This window comes from Homo sapiens, chromosome 4, assembly GCF_000001405.40.
Source record: "Homo sapiens chromosome 4, GRCh38.p14 Primary Assembly".
Taxonomy (NCBI): Eukaryota; Metazoa; Chordata; class Mammalia; order Primates; family Hominidae; genus Homo; species Homo sapiens.
In genome coordinates, this window is record NC_000004.12 from 93,639,490 (window position 1) to 93,655,600 (window position 16,111).

The 16,111-nt window shown below is 38.2% G+C and overlaps 1 protein-coding gene across 15 annotated transcripts in view, besides 2 other annotated features; it reads left to right on the top strand.

Annotated features, from left to right (window-relative positions):
- GRID2 (glutamate ionotropic receptor delta type subunit 2) overlaps positions 1–16,111 on the top strand; it is a 1,506,491-nt gene that overhangs the window by 1,335,524 nt on the left and 154,856 nt on the right. The gene's annotated exons all lie outside the window — the stretch shown is intronic.
- Positions 3,838–4,505: an enhancer, noted in NCBI's record as "H3K27ac-H3K4me1 hESC enhancer chr4:94564478-94565145 (GRCh37/hg19 assembly coordinates)". NCBI's record gives its function as "activates a minimal SCP1, AML or CMV promoter by ChIP-STARR-seq in primed H9 embryonic stem cells {active_cell/tissue: H9 hESC(primed)}" and the evidence as "EXISTENCE:reporter gene assay evidence [ECO:0000049][PMID:30033119]".
- Positions 10,369–10,663: a silencer, noted in NCBI's record as "tiled region #1337; HepG2 Repressive non-DNase unmatched - State 24:Quies". NCBI's record gives its function as "represses a minimal TATA promoter and a strong SV40 promoter by Sharpr-MPRA in HepG2 cells {active_cell/tissue: HepG2}" and the evidence as "EXISTENCE:reporter gene assay evidence [ECO:0000049][PMID:27701403]".

Consider the following 16,111-nt stretch of genomic DNA (forward strand, 5'->3'; position numbering starts at 1 on the left):
GGTGTAAGGAAGGGATCCAGTTTCAGCTTTCTACATATGGCTAGCCAGTTTTCCCAGCACCATTTATTAAATAGGGAATCCTTTCCCCATTGCTTGTTTTTCTCAGGTTTGTCAAAGATCAGATAGTTGTAGATATGCGGCATTATTTCTGAGGGCTCTGTTCTGTTCCATTGATCTATATCTCTGTTTTGGTACCAGTACCATGCTGTTTTGGTTACTGTAGCCTTGTAGTATAGTTTGAAGTCAGGTAGTGTGATGCCTCCAGCTTTGTTCTTTTGGCTTAGGATTGACTTGGCAATGCGGGTTCTTTTTTGGTTCCATATGAACTTTAAAGTAGTTTTTTCCAATTCTGTGAAGAAAGTCATTGGTAGCTTGATGGGGATGGCATTGAATCTGTAAATTACCTTGGGCAGTATGGCCATTTTCACGATATTGATTCTTCCTACCCATGAGCATGGAATGTTCTTCCATTTGTTTGTCTCCTCTTTTATTTCCTTGAGCAGCGGTTTGTAGTTCTCCTTGAAGAGGTCCTTCACATCCCTTGTAAGTTGGATTCCTAGGTATTTTATTCTCTTTGAAGCAATTGTGAATGGGAGTTCACCCATGATTTGGCTCTCTGTTTGTCTGTTGTTGGTGTATAAGAATGCTTGTGATTTTTGTACATTGATTTTGTATCCTGAGACTTTGCTGAAGTTGCTTATCAGCTTAAGGAGATTTTGGGCTGAGACGATGGGGTTTTCTAGATAAACAATCATGTCGTCTGCAAACAGGGACAATTTGACTTCCTCTTTTCCTAATTGAATACCCTTTATTTCCTTCTCCTGCCTGATTGCCCTGTCCAGAACTTCCAACACTATGTTGAATAGGAGCGGTGAGAGAGGGCATCCCTGTCTTGTGCCGGTTTTCAAAGGGAATGCTTCCAGTTTTTGCCCATTCAGTATGATATTGGCTGTGGGTTTGTCATAGATAGCTCTTATTATTTTGAAATACGTCCCATCAATACCTAATTTATTGAGAGTTTTTAGCATGAAGGGTTGTTGAATTTTGTCAAAGGCTTTTTCTGCATCTATTGAGATAATCATGTGGTTTTTGTCTTTGGCTCTGTTTATATGCTGGATTACATTTATTGATTTGCGTATATTGAACCAGCCTTGCATCCCAGGGATGAAGCCCACTTGATCATGGTGGATAAGCTTTTTGATGTGCTGCTGGATTCGGTTTGCCAGTATTTTATTGAGGATTTTTGCATCAATGTTCATCAAGGATATTGGTCTAAAATTCTCTTTTTTGGTTGTGTCTCTGCCCGGCTTTGGCATCAGAATGATGCTGGCCTCATAAAATGAGTTAGGGAGGATTCCCTCTTTTTCTATTGATTGGAATAGTTTCAGAAGGAATGGTACCAGTTCCTCCATGTACCTCTGGTAGAATTCGGCTGTGAATCCATCTGGTCCTGGACTCTTTTTGGTTGGTAAACTATTGATTATTGCCACAATTTCAGAGCCTGTTATTGGTCTATTCAGAGATTCAACTTCTTCCTGGTTTAGTCTTGGGAGAGTGTATGTGTCGAGGAATGTATCCATTTCTTCTAGATTTTCTAGTTTATTTGCGTAGAGGTGTTTGTAGTATTCTCTGATGGTAGTTTGTATTTCTGTGGGATCGGTGGTGATATCCCCTTTATCATTTTTTATTGTGTCTATTTGATTCTTCTCTCTTTTTTTCTTTATTAGTCTTGCTAGCGGTCTATCAATTTTGTTGATCCTTTCAAAAAACCAGCTCCTGGATTCATTGATTTTTTGAAGGGTTTTTTGTGTCTCTATTTCCTTCAGTTCTGCTCTGATTTTAGTTATTTCTTGCCTTCTGCTAGCTTTTGAATGTGTTTGCTCTTGCTTTTCTAGTTCTTTTAATTGTGATGTTAGGGTGTCAATTTTGGATCTTTCCTGCTTTCTCTTGTAGGCATTTAGTGCTATAAATTTCCCTCTACACACTGCTTTGAATGCGTCCCAGAGATTCTGGTATGTGGTGTCTTTGTTCTCGTTGGTTTCAAAGAACATCTTTATTTCTGCCTTCATTTCGTTATGTACCCAGTAGTCATTCAGGAGCAGGTTGTTCAGTTTCCATGTAGTTGAGCGGCTTTGAGTGAGATTCTTAATCCTGAGTTCTAGTTTGATTGCACTGTGGTCTGAGAGATAGTTTGTTATAATTTCTGTTCTTTTACATTTGCTGAGGAGAGCTTTACTTCCAAGTATGTGGTCAATTTTGGAATAGGTGTGGTGTGGTGCTGAAAAAAATGTATATTCTGTTGATTTGGGGTGGAGAGTTCTGTAGATGTCTATTAGGTCTGCTTGGTGCAGAGCTGAGTTCAATTCCTGGGTATCCTTGTTGACTTTCTGTCTCGTTGATCTGTCTAATGTTGACAGTGGGGTGTTAAAGTCTCCCATTATTAATGTGTGGGAGTCTAAGTCTCTTTGTAGGTCACTGAGGACTTGCTTTATGAATCTGGGTGCTCCTGTATTGGGTGCATAAATATTTAGGATAGTTAGCTCCTCTTGTTGAATTGATCCCTTTACCATTATGTAATGGCCTTCTTTGTCTCTTTTGATCTTTGTTGGTTTAAAGTCTGTTTTATCAGAGACTAGGATTGCAACCCCTGCCTTTTTTTGTTTTCCATTGGCTTGGTAGATCTTCCTCCATCCTTTTATTTTGAGCCTATGTGTGTCTCTGCACGTGAGATGGGTTTCCTGAATACAGCACACTGATGGGTCTTGACTCTTTATCCAACTTGCCAGTCTGTGTCTTTTAATTGCAGAATTTAGTCCATTTATATTTAAAGTTAATATTGTTATGTGTGAATTTGATCCTGTCATTATGATGTTAGCTGGTGATTTTGCTCATTAGTTGATGCAGTTTCTTCCTAGTCTCGATGGTCTTTACATTTTGGCATGATTTTGCAGCGGCTGGTACCGGTTGTTCCTTTCCATGTTTAGCACTTCCTTCAGGAGCTCTTTTAGGGCAGGCCTGGTGGTGACAAAATCTCTCAACATTTGCTTGTCTATAAAGTATTTTATTTCTCCTTCACTTATGAAGCTTAGTTTGGCTGGATATGAAATTCTGGGTTGAAAATTCTTTTCTTTAAGAATGTTGAATATTGGCCCCCACTCTCTTCTGGCTTGTAGGGTTTCTGCCGAGAGATCCGCTGTTAGTCTGATGGGCTTTCCTTTGAGGGTAACCCGACCTTTCTCTCTGGCTGCCCTTAACATTTTTTCCTTCATTTCAACTTTGGTGAATCTGACAATTATGTGTCTTGGAGTTGCTCTTCTTGAGGAGTATCTTTGTGGCGTTCTCTGTATTTCCTGAATCTGAACGTTGGCCTGCCTTGCTAGATTGGGGAAGTTCTCCTGGATAATATCCTGCAGAGTGTTTTCCAACTTGGTTCCATTCTCCACATCACTTTCAGGTACACCAATCAGATGTAGATTTGGTCTTTTCACATAGTCCCATATTTCTTGGAGGCTTTGCTCATTTCTTTTTATTCTTTTTTCTCTAAACTTCCCTTCTCGCTTCATTTCATTCATTTCATCTTCCATTGCTGATACCCTTCCTTCCAGTTGATCGCATCGGCTCCTGAGGCTTCTGCATTCTTCACGTAGTTCTCGAGCCTTCGTTTTCAGCTCCATCAGCTCCTTTAAGCACTTCTCTGTATTGGTTATTCTAGTTATACATTCTTCTAAATTTTTTTCAAAGTTTTCAGCTTCTTTGCCTTTGGTTTGAATGTCCTCCCGTAGCTCAGAGTAATTTGATCGTCTGAAGCCTTCTTCTCTCAGCTCGTCAAAATCATTCTCCATCCAGCTTTGTTCTGTTGCTGGTGAGGAACTGCGTTCCTTTGGAGGAGGAGAGGCGCTCTGCGTTTTAGAGTTTCCAGTTTTTCTGTTCTGTTTTTTCACCATCTTTGTGGTTTTATCTACTTTTGGTCTTTGATGATGGTGATGTACAGATGGGTTTTCGGTGTAGATGTCCTTTCTGGTTGTTAGTTTTCCTTCTAACAGACAGGACCCTCAGCTGCAGGTCTGTTGGAATACCCTGCCGTGTGAGGTGTCAGTGTGCCCCTGCTGGGGGGTGCCTCCCAGTTAGGCTGCTCGGGGGTCAGGAGTCAGGGACCCACTTGAGGAGGCAGTCTGCCCGTTCTCAGATCTCCAGCTGCTTGCTGGGAGAACCACTGCTCTCTTCAAAGCTGTCAGACAGGGACACTTAAGTCTGCAGAGGTTACTGCTGTCTTTTTGTTTGTCTGTGCCCTGCCCCCAGAGGTGGAGCCTACAGAGGCAGGCAGGCCTCCTTGAGCTGTGGTGGGCTCCACCCAGTTCGAGCTTCCAGGCTGCTTTGTTTACCTAAGCAAGCCTGGGCAATGGCGGGCGCCCCTCCCCCAGCCTAGTTGCCGCCTTGCAGTTTGATCTCAGACTGCTGTGCTAGCAATCCGCGAGATTCCGTGGGCGTAGGACCCTCCGAGCCAGGTGTGGGATATAGTCTCGTGGTGCGCCGTTTCTTAAGCCGGTCTGAAAAGCGCAATATTCGGGTGGGAGTGACCCGATTTTCCAGGTGCGTCCGTCACCCCTTTCTTTGACTCGGAAAGGGAACTCCCTGACCCCTTGCGCTTCCCAGGTGAGGCAATGCCTCGCCCTGCTTCGGCTCGCGCACGGTGCGCACACACACTGGCCTGCGCCCACTGTCTGGCACTCCCTAGTGAGATGAACCCGGTACCTCAGATGGAAATGCAGAAATCACCGTCTTCTGCGTCGCTCACGCTGGGAGCTGTAGACCGGAGCTGTTCCTATTCGGCCATCTTGGCTCCTCCCCACTAAAACTTGCATCTTAATGATATTTTTACCAATGTTCCATGAGCAATGTCCATGGCATGACAGAAAGGAACTGGCACGCTAAAAAAAATCGTGAGATTTCTACTCTGTAAGGTTTTTAATCTTTATCCAAAATAGTGGTTTTGATAGTAAAATTTTTGTTCTGATGATTTTTCTCAATTTTCTGTGTATTTTCCATTAATGAACCAAGATCCCTTTAGTACTCCCTAAAAAAACCATCGTGGCCCTTCTAGGGAGCCTCTTATATTCTTGGTGCTAATCAGCATGAATTTTACTAGTATTAATTTCCTCTTTTCTGCATGTTTTTAGCAAGTGCAGAAATTTGCCAAACAAATTACTTCTTAACCAGAATGTATTCAGTAAAGTGACTCAAAATCATTCATTAAGGTAGATGAGAAAATAGACTGGGTCTCAGAGGCTGTAAATATCAGACCAGCCTGACTCAATTTAGGACAAGGGGAATCATTGAAGGGTTTAGTAAAGCCTAGCCATAATCAGAAGCATGCTTTTTGATCAGTTTGAAAAAAAAATATGCAATGAAATGAAAGGAATTGACTAGACGAGAGAGTACCACATAGGAGGCCATGCTGTATCTATAATGTCTCCAAGAAGGCAGAGATTTGTGTCTGTTTTATTCAGAGACGTATTCCAAAGTGCCTGGAAGAAAGCCTAATACATAATAGCTGTTTGATAAATATTAGCTGAGTGAAAAAATTCATGAATGAATGACCCAGGCAAAGTCAAAGGCCTGACCTGGAGTGAAGGCAAAAGAAATGAAAGGGAAGGAAAAGATATTGTGAACTTAGTGTTGAGCATCAAATGGACACAGAAATCAACGGAAAGAGGGGAGCAAAATCATTTTGAAATCTTTAGCCTCACCGGCTGAGAGATCAAGAAGTCATTAACAAAAGAGAAGCCAGAAGAGGAAACTGGTTTGAGAGTGAAAGTGCTAATTTTGGTCTAGGTATGTTGAACTTGGGGCACCAGAGGATGATATACCCATATAAGGAAATGTAGGGAATATGACAAAGAAATGACAAAGTAGGGTGGGAATTTGAGAGAGAGGCTGGAGCGATGGTTATTGACTTGGGCAAACTCTCCATTAAAACAGTAAAAGCCAAAGATAGCCAATGGAAAGGGCATAGAGATAAAAAGAAAAAGGTTGAGGCAAAAATGTGTTTTCAAATGTCTCTTTTTTGCATTCCTATTCTTTCCATTCCATGGTCACAAACCTAATTAAATCTCTTAGCACATCATGTTGCCTGTCTCCTGGATACCTGGGTCATCCCTTTCTCTCCAGACTATTCACATCTAATACATTTTGTGGACCTCACCTTATGACCAGCCTTACCATAAGGCTTCTATAGAAAATTCAGCTCTTTATTAAATTTCCATGTTTTATCTTCCCTGTACCACTGATGTCACATTTTTGTTAATTAATCATTTCTTGTGTTCATACTTGACATTTCAAATATATTCTAAATTCTTAGCTTGCAAAGAATTACAAAATCTATCTTACACTTCCTTTTTCATCTTCCATAATAAAGTAGGTGTTCAATGAATTTTTGTTAATAATATTTGAGGGGGAAAGAAGACAATCCTATCATCACTATGACTACTAAGGCAAGCAGTTTACTAGAGATTAGAATTCATGTTTATTCATTCAATCAGTAAATATTTATTGAGCAGTTACTTAGTGCTTGAAACTCTTTGATTTATCTAGAGATAAAACAGTGAACAAGACTGACAAGATTATTACTTTCCTGAAGCTTACATTTTACTAGCAAGTCAGAGGAAGACACAGACAATAAATAAGAAAACAAAATAAATGGGATAATTTTATATTGGAAAATTTGCCTTAAAGAAAATATAACTGGGACAGAGAATAAAGGTAGATCAGCATGGGGGTGGGACACAGAAGACTATCCAAAGGAGGGAACATTTTATTACAACCTCAAATGGAAATTTTGGAGGAAGAATATCCAATGCATAAGAAGCAACAGATATAAAAGCCCTGCATTGGGAACCAGCTGGGAGTGTTTAAGGAATGACTAGGAGGCCAATGTTGACTCAAAGAGAGGGAACAAACAAGGCAGTCATATAAAAGGAGATTAAAGAGTTAGTTGGGCCCAGATATACAATAGAACCTTGAAAAACATAGTAAAGACTTAAGAGTTTTTTCTAATGGCAAAGACAAGCCATTGGAAATTTTTAAAGAAGCATTTTTTACCTCTGGCTCTTAAAGTAGAGAAAGATATATGGTGAGAAGGAGAGAGTGCAGCAGAGGCAGTGAGCAAGAGTGAATGTAGTAAGAGAAGTTAGGAAGCCAGTGCAGTAATCCAGGAGAGAGAGGGTGATGACTCAGTCTAGGGTGGTGTAATTGAGATGTGAAAGTGGCAGCTACAGGTCTCTCATAGCTGTGAAACTGATAGGACTGGAAACTGTTTGGATGTTATATGATGGGTGAGGTAAAGAGAGAAATCAGGATAAGCTTATTTTCTGAACAAATAAATGGATGATGGTATCATTAACTGAACTGGTCAAGCATGAACCCAAAGTAGGTTAACAAACAAGGGAAATTAATACCTCGGCTTTGGGTTTAGTAAGCTTGAGATTTTTATTAGACAGATTAATCTAAGTTATAACAGATGTATAAATGTGAAATTCAGGAGAAAACAAAATAAATAAAAATTACAATTTGAAAGGTAGAAGGTACTTATGAAAGATTTCTGTGTTAGATGAAGGACTTTGAGCTTGATGATGTTAGAGATTAGTAGTTATTAAGGGATGCTTAAATGATCTGAGAGATACACTGAAGTGGGTGGGAAGAGAATCGAAGCAGAAAAAGATAGGCACCTTTTTATAAAGTTCCTAAATTCTAGGAATGAGAATGGCAAATGACTTCATTATACGCTTTTGACTGTAAGAAAGGAAATCTGAAATCAAATGTTCCTAAGAAATTTATCTCACATAGCGACATATTTAATGATAGAATGGGCTCCATGATTGCTCAATTCAGAGGTTCAACAGGACAATGTTCTCAAGAACCGAAGTTCTTTTCACCTCTATACTCATCCATCCATGGTGAGTGAGACAAAACTGTCCTCAGGCAGACCTGCCTTGTGACAGAAGTGTCCTGTCCACAGGGACAGAGGTAATATAGTTCCTTGTTCTCATTCAGGAGAAATCTCCCCTCTCAACCAGAAACAGATTAATATAACTCTGTCTCTTCAGCTTTATTAGTTCATCTTAGGTCATATGTTTACCCAAATCAGTTCATCTTCTTAGGTCACAGGTTTACCACGGACTGAGCAGATCCACACAAGAATATATACTGATGGCTTAGACTGTGTACCTAATGGGATGGAAGAAATGTTGGAAGGTATACTATACTATACCATACCTATACTATAACATTCCCTACAACTAATTTAAAGAATTGACAGATAATAGAGAATATAAGGAACAAATGAAAAAGAATTAACACCCACAATAAAATAGCTATCATTTATTGCACATTTATTAAGTGCCAGCTACTTTTCTAAAGTTTTTACATGTACTAACTCCTTTAGTCCTTATAACACCCCAGAAGAGCTGCTATTATCGTTTCATTTTATAGTCAAGGACACTGACACATAGAGTAGCTACTCAAGTTATAGTTAATAAATGGCTGAGCTAGGATTTGAATCCAGACAAATCTGACTTCAGCTGTCATGCCCTTAACCAGTTTGCTCTAGTTAAATGAAAATAGAAAGAGGGACGATACCATAAACTCAACTGGAAAATTATAAACAGGAACATGAGAAGGGGGATTGTATGGGAAGGAAGAGTATGATATTGGTTTAGCTATGTTGAATTTGTAATGACATCAAGAAGTCTGAAAACTGTGGAACGTATGAGACAGAAGGTTGGGTAAGATGGAGGAAAGAAATATGGATTTAGGATTTATCAATAAAAAGTAACATGGGGAAAAATCAAGAGAAACTATGTGCAGAGAAAAAGGAACAAAGCCCCTAAGGACTGATATTAAAGGAAAAAGAGGAAGAGGCTTTAGTAAAGAAATGACTAGAAACATGCCTTATAAGTAATGACAGCAAACTATGAAATCTGTACATCCTCAAGACCTTGAGCAATTTCTGTACAAAGCCATTGTTGAAGGGCTATTTCTTAAATGAGAGAATAAACAGCTGCTATAGACCGCTTCGGCTCATCCTGTGTTTCCTCACTCTAACACAATGGTTCTCCATTTTTAGCCAAGCATCAGGATCACCTGAACGGTCTGTTAAAACACATTTCTGGGCTCCAGCCCCAGAGGTTCTGGTTTCGCAGGCATGTATAATTTTTATTTCTAACAAGTTCCAGGTGATGCTGTGCTGCTGATCTAGATCTAGTCCACATTTTGAGAACCACTCTTGTAATACATGGTCTTTGACTTCTTTGCTCTTATTCTCTCCCTTGTATCTTTTTCTTGCTTCTTTATTCTCTTTTTTTTACCATGTTTTTTGGATTTCATATGCAAACACATACAGTTGCTACTACTCTACATTATTTTATTTAATTCTTGCAAAACATCACTGAGAGAATGATTATTGTGCCTGTCTTATAGATTATAAAGCAAAGCTTAGCACAAAGGATAGATACTTTAGTACTGAATCAATAAACCTAAATTATACAACAGACTAACATTCTAATTTCTTTTTGAACTAATATTCCCCAATTCCACTTATTTCCTTTCTTCTACTTGATCAACCATGATATCATCTTCAACAACCAAAATCATTTTTTAACGGCTATTTTGACCATATCACATAATTTTTAAAATCGTTCTGTGCCTGTTGTTCCTTTTGCCTGTATAGAATCCTTCTTATTGATCAACTCATTTCTCTAACTTGGCCTAATGTCTCAAACAGTGCTTTGCCTATAGGAAATCAACAACATGATGTTAACTAATGCATTGGGTAGCAGTCTTTCAGACTTTCACCTAAGCCAATATCCTACTTGGCCACTCTCCTTATCCCAGTAAAGTTTCATTTATTTTTTTCTTTTATTAACATAATAATTATTTGACAATAAAAACTTTGCCTTTTATAGTCATTAAAGCTTGTTTGGTTTTCATGGAGGGTGAAGAAGAACTTACTAAGAAAAGTTTTTTTCACTTAAAGAAGGAAAACAAGTCTACTATATTCCCAAGTCTATACTCCGAGTATTTTCTCCCTGCATCACACCATAAAGTCTATAGGTCTCTTGATAACTTAAAATCACAGAACCATAAACTCAAAACTAAGAGTGATATTTTATCATCTGTTTCAAAGCCATCTTTATCCAGGTCACTGTGAGGAAATGAAGTCTCCAAGAGGAGAGATGAATGGGCCAGAGTCATTCAGGTACAGCCTGACAGAGTTAGAGTTACAGAAAATCCCAGATTTCCCTATTATCAGTCTTGTGTAATTCTTTCTGTCGCATAACTTTATAACTCCAAAATCCTAGTCCATCTCCAAAACATTATGATGTTCAGAATGTGACTAGCTACATAGGTTTTGAATCAGGCACTATGAAGATAAAAAAAAGAAAAACAGAATAAATAAAAAGAATCCTACAAGTTTCCTCCCCCAGCTCACCTTGTATATGCCTTTCCCCACCACCACCTCCCTGACCCAGCCCCCCATCTGCATTCCAAGGCACTAGGGTACTCTTGGTGCCTGCTTCTGTGAGGGCCTTGATTCCTAGGCTCACACTTCCTCTGGTTAACTCCTGCTCAATTTCCTATCTCACTTTAAATAGCCTGTCCCTAAGGTGAAATCCAGCCACCTTTATTGCCAACTTCCAATGCCTTTCCATAGACAGAAAGCAGCCCTAAGGATATGTTCCAAAATTCACTGGAAAGTGGGGAAAAAAAATAAGGACAAAATCATCAGATGTTAACTCAATTACCTCAATTAAAAGAACTGTCTTTTTTTCTGAGATTATATCCTTTTTATATTTGGGGAATTATATGTTATTTTATTTATGAAAAAGCATAGATTTTTTTTTAAAATACCTCAATGAAATAAAAGTTGAGCAACCTCTGTCAATCCCTCCAACTTTTTTTCCTGAAATTTGAAAGTCTTGGAATGCATATTCCTTACTCAAAATTACTGTGCAAAGATTCAGTCTAGAAAAAGGGGCACAAAAATAAGAAATGTGCAACCAACTTGCTGTACAAGACCCTCTGTTTTAATTCCTTTTTAAAGCAACCCAGTGCTTGTATAGTGGTGTGTGAAACATAGGAGTTTCTAAGCAAATGCTTTTTAGATTCCTTACACTTAAAAAAAGTCCTTTGGGATGTTTTATGCAGAATGCTACGTCCTAGTTTAAATCTAAGAACTCTTTTGACCTTCAGTGCATGTAGAAAAATGTAAAAAATAAATGAGAAAATTAACCTGTTCAAAGAAAAGCTTTAAAAAAATTCTTCAAGCAGAGCTTCTCCCTGTTATCATTGATTAAAATAAGAAGGGGAACAAACTGAAAGGTTTAAAAGGAGTTGTCCCTTAAAATATTTTATATACATACTGCAAAAAAAAATTCATTCTGAAAACAAAGGCTTCTAGACTCAGTTTACTGAATGCGAAATGATCAGACTCGTCTTATTCAGATGTGAAGGTGACCATTTGAGGTCTCAAATAGCCATTGTAACCACCCTGCACAAAATCATTTCTCTGAAAACTGGCTACCTCTAGGACACAGATTCTGCATCACCTCACAAAAGATGGTAGTGAAATCCCTTTAGGAAATATTTAAATAATGAGCCAATTCATATTCCCTTCAGAGTTTCTCATATCTTTTGTCAACATTGAAAATCCATCTTATCCCTCACAGCAAACAACCACTTCATGTGTTTCCTAGGGGTTAGACTGTTCCATTTCCTTTCCACCAAAGATGACCTTGTGTACAGGACCAGTTTTGCAGGCAGCACAAGAGAGTTATTCTTTCGATAACATAGGATTTAAAATTCAGGACAGCTAAATTTCATAGGAAGAGCTCCAAAAGGATGTGGTCACTTGGTGGAGCATATACTGTACACAGCTGATAGGCTTCACAATGAAACACCTGGTAAAGCGTATCTTTGAATCCTTAAGCTTCCCTTTCTTCTGCATCTTTACACTTTGGAAATCCATGAAGCTGCTGTTAGGCAGAGCATTTAATGGGGATCTTGCATCACCTCAATATTCCCACTTGTATGCCTATTTTGATGCAGTCACACTACGAGTCTAATATGAAAAATAACTTTTAAAAGGCAATGAAAATGTAAGTCAACCTAAAAGGAACATATATACTGAGACTGGTAGATTCAGCCATGCATTATGCTTAATATGTTTTAAGTTAACGTGAACTTGTTTGAAAAGAGATAGAAAAATATATATACAAACTAGCAGTGTTTCATCCCATTTAACAAGTATTTGTTAACCACCTACTAAATGCCAGACACTATGGTAGGCTGTGGAGCTATAGCTTTGAACTATACACAACCCCAGCCTCCAAACCTCTTGCTCTCTAGAAGGAAAGGTGAACAAGTGAATGAGCTATTTTCTGTTTGGTGTGATAGGTGTTTTGGGACCACAGGGAAGCAGTGTAGACCTCAGGTGAAAATTATCAGGAAAGCTTCCTAGTGGAATTGATACTGGAAAGATTATTTAAAGAACAATTGATGTTGGTTAATGTTATGGGCTAAATTTTGAAGTCCTAACCTCCAGTACCTCAGAATGTTACTATATTTGAATACAGGGTCTTAAAATGTAATTAAGGTTTAAAAAAGTCACTGGGGCATGCCCTATCTAATATGACTTGTGTCTTTATAAGAAGAGGTTAGAATACAGACATGCACAGAGGGAAGACCACGTGAAGACACAAGGAGAAGACAGCCATCTATAAAGTAAGCAAGATATCTCGTAAGAAATCAACCCTGCCAGCACCTTGATCTCAGACTTCAGCCTCCAGAACTGTGAGAAAATTAATACAGTCATGTACCACATAATGACGTTTTGGTCGATGACAGACTGCATAAAAAACAATGGTTCCATAAGATTATAATACTGCATTTTTCTCGTAACTTTTCTATGTTTAGACACACAAATACCTATCATTGTGTTACAATTGCCCACAGTATTCTGTATAGTAACATGCAGTACAGGTTTGAACCCAGGAGCAATAGGCTATATCATATAGCCTAGGTGTGTAGTAGGCTATACGGTCTAGGTTTGTGTAACTACACTCCATAATGTTCATACCATGACAAAAATCACCTAAAGATACATTTTTCAGAACACATCCTTGTCGTTAAGCAGCACATGACTATGTCTCTTGTTCAAGCCAGCCAGTCCATGGTACTTGGTTATGGCAGCCCTGGCAAATTAATACAGTCGATGAATGACAGTAAATGCAGTAAATGCTAAAAAAAAAAAAAAAAAAAAAAAAAAAATGAACTGGAACAAAAGAGACACCACTTCGAATGGAGTATTAATCAGGAATATTAATCAGGAAGTGGCAGCAAATGAGCCTGGGAAGATACACAAAGGACATGGGGACTTCTTAGCTTCATTGAGAAGGGCCTGAGATGCCTGGCCAGAGTTCAGACTCAATCCTGAGCATGAAGGGATGCCACCAGAGGTTTTTAAGTGAGATTGAACATAAAAAGCTTACATTTTATAAAAGTCACTCTGGCTGCAGTGTTGATTATTAGTTGTCTGAGAGCAAGACTCTTTGAAGCTGGGAGACCAGTCAGAAATTTAATCTAGATGAGAGATGATACCAACCTAAAATACAGTGAAAATGGGGGGAAAAAGTTTGGAAACGTAAATTTGAGTTATAATAAAGGAACAATGTGAGAACAAAGTTGTTAGAACAATCTCTGAGTCTCCTCCACGCTGTCACATTTCCACCCCAGTGCTTAGTCTTCTCATAATAGCCATATTTGTAAGAGAAGGCAAATTCCGTTTTTATTAGTTAATATATTTGGCAACTTCTCCTAAGGCACCTGCCAACTCCAGTGTATCTCAGGCTTTTACTCTTGAACTCTGAAACCCGAGAATGCTAAATTAATTCACACTTCTAAGAAGAACATGGATTGAGGCACATTCTATAATACCTATATTTAAACACTTCCCAGAAGTGTGCTATTTTGTATGTGTGAAAATTGCCAACACAACATTCACAAACCCTCTTAACTTGCATCTCCAGCCTTGACGTCCCTGAAGAAGAATAAACTGCCTTCTAAATGTAGTTAGCTAAGAGAAAAGATTAGGAAAGGAGGAGTAGAGGAAGGAGTGGAAATGGGGGGAAAGAAAAGAGATTTTTACCACCCACTAGTTTGACTGTTTAGTCAATCTCTTTGTCTCAACAACCTACTTTTAGTGCATGAAAGATGTGGTTACTCTCTGAGATGAGAGTATAATCTCTGCTGGAAAGTATACATAGTCAGCGTGTCTGATTTTCTTAGGAGCTCTACCTTTGGACAAGCAGGAGTTAGCAAGAAGTATATAAAGTCAGTGAGTCTCACACATGGGAAAACTTTATTTGCCATCTATGAAATGTTCAAATATTAGAAGGATTTATTTTTATTATCCTTTTCTTCAAAGCACTCCATTTTAAATGTCAGTAAGCTTTTCAACAATAAAGATAGATTTCAGCAAATTGCCAGTCAAGGTTTTTCTTTTATTTCCTGGGTGTTTCTTAATAAGTGGACTTATTGTAGCCCAGATGTCTGTCTGTCTAGTGGCCAGCCTTTTCATATCCACGATCATTTTCTCTCTCTCATCATATTTCCCAACTACGCTTTACTGCATTTATCTTCTTAAACCATGTGTGACTTTCTATACCAGGAAATTTTCAAGGGAACATCACTTCATTTTGCTTCCAATAGAAGCCCAGGCACAAAGAGAAATGATAAAACTCTGGCCCCTGCTTTATTCATAAAACACTTTGCAGAGTGCATTTAGTAATTTGCCATTGTAACCACTGGCACTAAGAGCTTTCAGGGCCGAGTTCTGATGCTGTATTTAGTTCATACTTTGACTGCTCAGCTAAAACTTCCATTTGTATGCATTTATTCTGCTTCACACATTATGTTGTCAGTCACTTGCAATATTTCAAAGTCACAGCAGGCTTTTTCTGACACATATTTGTCAGAATGAACTGCCTTGATTGCTATTATTACAGACTATAGTGCCTGAGTAAGGGGAAAAAAAACTTATGTAGTACCAGAATATTGAAACTGCCTAATAAAACAATAGATACAAGAGAATAAAAATAGAATAAATGCATATAAATGGATGCTTTAAAAGGCCAACAAAATGTAGGATTACAAAATAGACATATAGAACCCAAAAACCCATTCATAAAAAGGATTGGAATTTTTTGAAAATGATAAGGAGCCGAATGAGAAAATTCCACTGCCCCAGTGTCAGTGAGTAAGTGAGTATCACATACTTCCTTTCCAGTAACCAGGGATTTAAGTAGACTCTGCTAATGGATGCTGTCATTGAGAGAAATTTTAGCATGAAATCTCCTACTGAACAACAATAAAAACACATGCTTTGACCAAAAATAATAAAAACTATGAGGAACTAATTAGAAATCCAGATCCTTTATCATTCTTGATAAACTACTGAGCATGTAATCTGAAAAGACCTGTGCCCCATTTGGCTGCTCTTTTCTCTACCTTTTGATCTTACCCATACTTCAGAACTGAACACCATATAAGTACCATAGAAATCCACTTGGGAATCAGGGAATTTCTCTGCCGATAGGGATGGCCCTTCCTTAGGATTCCTCAAATTTCAAGACTTGCATAAAGCATAAGATAAGAAAATTAAATAAGACATAATAATTAGTTTTCAAACCTCTTATCAAAAGTAAATTATAAAATACAAAAATCTAAAACATTTTTATTAATGCCACAGATCAGTAGAACAGAAAAATCTAAGCTGTGTTGCTCTTGTCTTTGGGGCAATTATATAACTTTATGAATTTGCTTCACTTCATATGTTTCTCCACATATTTTCCTAAAGTAATATTCAAGAAATTATGCTGGACATGAAAAATCTCTAACAGATCCACTGTTTGGAAAATCATTTCTTTTTTTAAAAAAAGAAAGTTATGATGAAGAGTAATTATCAAAACTGGAAGAAATTATAAAGTAAGAAAATTGTAAAAGCCGAAAGATAGGTCATCTACTTGCTTACTCTATTTCTAGAAATAAGATTTAATTC